This window comes from Homo sapiens, chromosome X (genome assembly GCF_000001405.40).
Source record: "Homo sapiens chromosome X, GRCh38.p14 Primary Assembly".
NCBI lineage: Eukaryota > Metazoa > Chordata > Mammalia > Primates > Hominidae > Homo > Homo sapiens.
Window position 1 is genome coordinate 30,611,171 of NC_000023.11, and position 8,371 is coordinate 30,619,541.

Sequence of the window (8,371 nt, forward strand, 5' to 3'; positions counted from 1 at the left end):
AACGAGAAAACTGGCCGGGTATGGTGGCTCACGCTTATAAACCCAGCATTTTGGGAGGCTGAGGCAGGCGGATCGCCTGAGGTCAGGAGTTCAAGACCAGCCTAACCAACATGGGGAAACTCTGTCTCTACTAAGAATACGAAAATTAAGCGGGACATGGTGGCAGGCACCTGTAATCCCAGCTACTTGGGAGGCTGAGGCAGGAGAATCACTTGAACCCTGGAGGCAGAGGTTGCAGTGAGCCGAGATTGCACTGCTGCACTCCAGGCTGGGCGACACAGCGAGACTCCTCAAAAAAAAAAAAAAAAAAAAATGAGAGAGAGGAAACCAGGCCAGGCACGGTGGCTCGCACCTATAATCCCAGCAATTTGGGAGGCTGAGGCAGGAGGATCACTTGAGTCTAGGAGTTTGAGACCAGCCTGGGCAACATAGCAAGACCTCATCTCTACAAAAAAAAAAATAAACGAAATTAGCAGGGCATGGTGGTGCGTGCCTGTAGTCCCAGCTGCTCAGGAGGCTGAGTGGGAGGATTGCCTGAGCTCAGGAGGTAGAGGCTGCAGTGAGCGATGATAGCACCACTGTACTCCAGCCTGGGTGACGGAGTGAGACCCTGTCTCCCCAAAAAAAAAGAGGAAACTGAGGCACAGTCCTACAGCTGGTAATTAATAAAACCAATATTTAAATTCAATAAATATTTAAATTCAATCTGAAACCAGAGTGTAAGGTATGCTATCTTGTTAACACCTCTGTAAATTACATTGACATTCTACTAATGGTCTTTTGAGCAGAGAGATTTAGCTGCTCCATAGATAATTAAATTTTGAAAAAAATGGAAAGTGTTTTGAAGGAAAATGTAAGTCAGATCTCAGACTGACATGGGAAACTGTTATGTGTATGAAGTGGTGCATTAATTAATGTACTCCAGTAGCTGAGATTTTATTTTATTCAAAGGAGATGAAATCTTAAATTAGGAGATGAAATTTAAGATTTAAAAAATCATGATTGTAAGGCTGGGTGCAGTGGCTCATGCCTGTAATCCCAGCACTTTGGGAGGCCGAGGTGGGCGGATCACCTGAGGTCAGGAGTTCAAGATCAGCCTGACCAACAGGGCAAAACCCCGTATCTACTAAAAGTACAAAAATTAGCTGGGCTTGGTGGCGGGCACCTGTAATCCCAGCTACAGGAGAATCGCTTGAAACCAGGAGACGGATGTCGAGGTTGCAGTGAGCCGAGATTGCACCATTGCACTCCAGCTTGGGCAACAAGAGCAACACTCCATCTCAAAAAAAAAAAAAATCATGATTGTAGCCTACACTTGGATCTATGCCTAATAAAACAGTCAAGTATGACTGAAGCAAAAACAGTTTACACACACCTTTTGTGATTTATTGGTTACTCAAAGGGAGTCCAGTCCATAGTGTGAAAAGTGAATTGCTGCAGAGATGAAAAGAGGTGTGTCTAGAGGAAGTCCTTGTAGCAGTGTTTTGTTCCTGCTCGGTCTGAGCCTTTGAATAGATCCTGAAACGTTATATCAAATCCTCTCTCAAAGCACCATTATATGAATGAACAAATAATTTATTGAAAACTAAAACTAAACTAAATTAAGATCCCTGGGAAAAGAAAATCAATACTCCAGAACAATGGATCCAAAGCTCAACTAGGCTAACATAATTCTCAAAGTTCTAGCTTTTAGGCCACTTCAATTTGTCTATCAATGCAGCATTGAACTGCTGACAAATTAGGGAGACATAGTCTCCACCCACAAGCTGCTGTTTATAAACACCAGATGTTTCTGGAACTACCACTTCTGCTAAAAAGGTTTAACTTCCCCTCGTAAATTAATAAGAAATAAGAATTGCAAAAATTGGAATATATTCTCAAAGTATTCCTGAACTTGTGGGATAACTAATAACGAGTATACTTATCTTTAAAGTTTTGGCCGGGCGCGGTGGCTCACGCCTGTAATCCCAGCACTTTGGGAGGCCGAGGCGGGGAGATCACGAAGTCAGGAGATCGAGACCATCCTGGCTAACACGGTGAAACCCTGTCTCTACTAAAAATACAAAAACAAAAAATTAGCCGGGCATGGTGGCCGGCACTGCAGTCCCAGCTACTCGGGAGGCTGAGGCGTGAGAGTGGCGTGAACCCGGGAGGCGGAGCCTGCAGTGAGCGGAGATTGCACCACTGCGCTACAGCCCGGGTGACAGAGCGAGACTCTGTCTCAAAAAAATAAATAAATAAAGTTCTGCAGATAAGCAATTCTATGAATATTGAATGTCTTTTTAACCTATAAGAAGATACCACTCTTGATTGATTTTCTTTTTGGGAGTGCCTAGGTTCAATTTAAAGGTTCTCTGCATGAGATACGCCAATTGATGTAAAGGTTGGTTTTTTAAAAAATTTTAATTTCACTGCTTCCTCATTCCTCTGTGTGTGTATACACACTCGCTAGTGATTTCTTTTCTTAGAATAGAAATTATGAATATCATTTTAAAAAGAGCTGTTTCTGCTAACCTTACAAAATATATTTAATTTGCTGTTTAAATGAAATAGCAAACTTTCTCAAACTTACAGATGCCTCTTGAGCCTTGGATTTCCATTTCTATTTGCTGCGTTTCTGAGTCTCTGTTATCACTATTTGGTGTGAAAACATACACGTCATTTTGGCTTATGATTCAGAAAAGACAGTTTTTTTTATCACAGTTTCTCCAGAGTTCACGTTAATAATGCAACATTTGAACTTCTGCTTCTAGTCAAGATGGAGTAACGGGGACCAAATTTACAGGGACAAAACTGTAAAACAGCAGTTTTCAAGACATTGGACATTGGGCAATGGACAATCATCGCTGAGAAACAGGAAACAAACTAAGTGAGCCCTATAATTGCCCCAGGCAATTGAATCCAATTATATATAAAATGGAAAATACATCATGAACAAGTGGGGTTCATCCCAGGAATGCAAGATTGGTTTAGCATTCAAAACTTAATCAATAAAACTCAACAGACTAGGAATAGAAGGGAACCTCCTCAACCTAATAAAAGGCATTTATGAAAAAACCTACCGTTAACCTCATTAATGATGAAAGACTGAATGTTTTCTGCCTAAGATCAGGAACAAGGCAAGGATCCACTCTCACCAATTCTATTCAAAATTATACTGGAAGATGCAGCCAGTGAAATAGGGCAAAAATGAAAGGCATTCATATTGTACGGGAAGAATAAAACTGTCTTTATTCACAAATGACATTCCTGTCTATGCAGAAAGTCCTGTGAAATCTACAAGAAAAATACTAGAATAAATGAGTTTAGCAAAGTTGTAGGATACAAGATAAAGAATGAAAAATAAATTGTGTTTTCTATATACTAGCAATGAAAATGGGAAATTTAAATTATAAATTATAACAATATCATTTACAGTGACAACAAAAATATAAAATACTATCATGTCTGTAATCCCAGCATTTTGGGAGGCCAAGGCAGGCAGATCACTTGAGCCCAGGAGTTCGAGACCAGCTTGGGCAACATGGCGAAACCCTATCTCTACAAAATAATCCAATAAAAATTAGCCTAGTGTGGCGGTGTGCACCTGTAGTCCCAGGTACTTGGGAGGCTGAGATGGGAGGGTCACCTGAGCCCAGGTGGTTAAGGCTGTGGTGGGCCATGATCCCACCACTGCACTCCAGCCTGGGCAATAGAGTGAGACCCTATCTCAAGCATATATATATATGCTTTGTTAGGGATAAACCTGACAAAGTGCATGTGATACCTACACACTGAAAACTAAAAAACATTGCTGAGATAAATGAAAGAAGACCTAAATAAATGCAGAAATATACCATGTTCATTGATTGAAAGACTCAATATTGTGAAGACATCTCTTTGAAACAAACCCAATAAGATGTCAGCATGATTGTCTTTAAAGCTTAACAGGATGATTCTAAAATTAATATAGAAATGCAAAGAACCTAGAATGCCTCAAATATCTTTGAAAAGTAGGAAACAAGTTGGAGGACTTATAATACTTATATTACTTGATTTGTAGGAGGACATATTACTTGACTTCAATAGTGACCCCTTATCCATGGTTTTGCTTTCTGTGGTTTTAGTTACCTGCAGTCAACCATGGTCCAAAAATATTAAATGGAAGATTTCAGAAGTAAACGATTCATAAGTTTTAAATTGCACATCATTATGAGAAGCATGATAAAACCTTGTGCCTTCCTGCCAGGGATGTGAATCATTTCTTTTTTCAGTGTATCCACGCTGTATACACTACCCACTTATTAGTCATTTAGTATTCATCTCAGTTATCGGATTGACTGTCATGGTATGGCAGTACTTGTGTTCAAGTAACCTTTATTTTACTTAATAATGGCCCTAAAGTGCAAGAGTAGTGATGCCGGCAATTCAGATATGCCAAAGAAGAAGGATGTATATAGTACAAGAAGATATTTTGAATATACATGTATCAAAATATCACATTGTATCCCACAAATACAATTATTGTGTGTCAATTAAAAATAAAATAAAACTTTTAAAAAGGGATATTTTGAGAGAGACCACATTCACACAGCTTCTATTACAGTATATTGTTGTAATCATTCTACTGTATTATTAGTTATTTTTATGAATCTCTTAATTTGCCTAATTTATAAATTAAACATTATCAAAGTTTTATATGCATAGGAAAAAACATAGTATAGATGAGGTTTGGTAAAATCCATGGTTTCAGGCATCCACTGGGAGTCTTGGAACATATACAATGAGGATAAGAGCAAGTTACTCTATACAGTTGCAGTTGGTATTGGTGTAAAGTTTGATAAATAGGTCAGTTGATCAGAATAGGGAATCCAAAAATAGACCCATATCAGTATAGTCAATTGGCTTTTTACAAAGGTACAATGGCAATTCAGCAGAGAAAAGCTAGTCTATTCAACAAATTGTGCTGGAACAGTTGGATATTCAACCATATTCAAAAAAGAAACTTAAATTCACGCTTTGCAGTATATACAAAATTAACTGAAAATATATCAGAGACCCAAAGGTAAAGTCTATAACTATACAACTTCTAGAAAAAAATAAGAGAAAATCTTTGTTACATTGGGTTTGGCAGTGATTTCTTAGATATAACATCAAAACCGTGATACATAAAATAAAAGAAATGGTAAATTGGACTTCGACCATATTAAGAGCTTTCACTCCCCAAAAAAATACTAAGAGAATTAAAAGATAAACCACAGATTGGGATAATATGTATGCAAATTGCATATCTGTTAAAGAACTAGTATCCAGAATATATAAAGAAAACAACTCAATTAAAAGTGGGTGAAAATTTTGAATAGACATCTCACCTAAGAAGATATATAGATGTCAAATAAGCACATTAACAGATGATTCAACACCATTAGTTAAGGGAAATGCAAATTAAAATCGCAATGAGCAACTGATACGCACCTATTAAAATGTCTAAAATTAAAATGACTGATCATACCAAGTGTCGGTGAGAATGTGGAACAACTGAAACTATTATGAATTTCTGGTGGAAATGTAAAATGGTACAACCACTTCAGAAAACAATTGTGCAGTTTATCAAATAGTTAAACATATACCTAAGTATTTGCCCAGTGAAAGAGAAATCAAAGCATATATACACAAGATTTGTATACAAATGTTCATAGCAGCTTTACTTGTCAATAGCCAAAAACTGGAAACATTGCGAATATCCATCAACAAGTGAATGAATAAAAATTATGTAAGCCAGGCATAGTGGTATGTGCCTCTAATCCCAGTTACTCTGGAGGCTGAGGTGGGAGGATAGCTTGAGCCCAGGAGTTTGAGACCAGTCTGAGCAACACAGAGAGAACCCCATCTCAAAAAAAAAAAATTGTGATGCATCATGCAATGGAATATTACTAAACCATAAAAAAGAATGGGACTTCTTTTTCCAAAATAATGATATAGAAGCAAACTCGCTTCATTCTCCTACCCACAGACAACCAAAAACAAATATACATTGCCAAGATTATCAACAGAAACATCCCAGATCTTATATAGGAAGATGAGACCGTTTCCAGGGCAGCAGAGAAGTGAAAAAACTCTGAGCCGACGGTAAGAGAATCAAACTTCAACATCCACAGTGCAGTGCCCTTGCCCCATTCTGCCTGGCACCAAGTGCATAGAAAATTTTCCCCCAACTGGAGGCCAAAGTGGGTGAGAGCACATGCTGTTGGGAGTTGCTTGGAGGTTGGCGGTGCAGGGCTGAAGGCTAGCAAACCAAGCAATCATGTTGCACAAACAAATTTACTATTCGGACAAATACGACGACGAGGAGTTTGAGTATCGACATGTCATGCTGCCCAAGGACATAGCCAAGCTGGTCCCTGAAACCCATTTGATGTCTGAATCTGAATGGAGGAATCTTGGCATTCAGCAGAGTCAGGGATGGGTCCATTATATGATCCATGAACCAGAACCGCACGTCTTGCTCTTCCGGCGCCCGCTACCCAAGAAGCCAAAGAAATGAAGCTGGCAAGCTACTTTTCAGCCTCGAGCTTTACACAGCTGTCCTTACTTCCTAACATCTTTCTGATAACATTATTATGTTGACTTCTGTTTCTCACTTTGATATTTAAAAGATGTTCAACACACTGTTTGAATGTGCTGGTAGCTGCTTTGCTTCTTGAGTAGAGCCACCACCACCATAGCCCAGCCAGATGAGTGCTCTGTGGACCCACAGCCTCAGCTGAGTGTGACCCCAGAAGCCACGATGTGCTCTGTATGCAGAACACACTTGGCAGATGGAGGAAGCATCTGAGTTTGAGACCATGGCTGTTACAGGGATCATGTAAACTTGCTGTTTTTGTTTTTTCCTGCCGGGTGTTGTATGTATGGTGACTTGTGGATTTATGTTTCAGTGTACTGGAAACTTTCCATTTTATTCAAGAAATCTGTTCATGTTAAAAGCCTTGATTAAAGAGGAAGTTTTTATAATCTAAAAAAAAAAAACAATTTCCCCCAACTCCCTGTTTCTACACTGGAAAAAGTAAGATTGAGGTGCACAATCAACTTCCCCACCATCTTGGGTTCCCAGGCAGGATGTTTCTGCTTTAACCCACTGGAAGCATTGCGAGTGCCTGAAGGGAAAAATATTCCTGAGGACAGGCAGTGACAAAGGCGGGAGGCAGGACTACCATCCCCAGACCTGAAAACTCATAAGCAGGAGACGCCAAATCAGAGTGGCTGCTCAGCAGCATGACGCCAAATCAGAGTGGCTGCTCAGCAGCACCATGCTATAGGAGGTTCATCCTACAGATCCCCTGGGCATGAACCACTAGACAGCCTTCCTAAAATGCTGGGATATCCCCTTTAGGACCTCCCCCATTTGGATTGGGCAGTGCGCCGATTGTTTACTAGAGCAGAGGTGAACTTGAGCTTAAAGCACCACCTAGAGCTAAAAGGAGGCAGTGACCTAGCAGTAAACAACTTCTAAGCAAATATATCCAATTAAAAAAAAAAAAAGCCAGACAGAGAAGACTGGAATAAATAACTCATCCTTCAATGCAAAGACATAGACATATAAACACCGGAAACAACAACAAACAGGGAACTATGACCTCTCCAAATGGACAAAGCAAAGAACCAGTAACTGACCCTAATGAGATGATGATATGTGACCTCTCTGACCAAGAATTCAAAATAGTAGCTTCAAGGAAACTCAGTGATCTCTAAGATAACAGAGAAAAGCAATTCAGAAACTTATCAGGGAAATTTAACAAAGAGATTGAAATAATTTAAAATAAAAATAAATCTTTGAACTGAGAAATACATTTGCTGAACTGAAAAAGGAATGGATTAGCAGTGCATACAACATGGATGGATCTCAAAATAATTTTTCTGTGTGATAAAGGTCAAACAAAAAAGAGTACCTGCTATATGATTCCATTTCCATAAAACTCTAGAATATGCTTACTAATCAATAGCAGCAGAAAACAGATCAGTGGTTGCCTTGGAATGGAAGATGCAGGAGAGGATTACAAACACTCATAAGTAATGAACAGAATGAGGGACATGGTCAAATAGCAGCTGCCTTGTGGGTTAAAAGAATGTGAAAATAACTTCAATCGAGTAAAAAGTTAGTACAGAAAGGGGAAGCAATTTTATAAATAAATGCTAGTCATTCTCAATTTCATAAATTATTTCTAAATGTATTTTGTTAGTAGCCTGTCTTATTTTTTGAAATTTGAGATTGTTTCATTTAAATTTAAAAGACAGGGAAATACACACACAGCCCATCTCAATGAGGAACGAGATTGCAATCATTGTGACCAGACATTACCAGATAATGTATCATGCCTTGTAATGTAAATTATGG

The 8,371-nt window shown here is 38.9% G+C and overlaps 1 pseudogene; it reads left to right on the top strand.

Moving 5' to 3' along the window:
- On the top strand, nucleotides 6,222–6,994 carry CKS1BP6 (CDC28 protein kinase regulatory subunit 1B pseudogene 6; annotated as a pseudogene).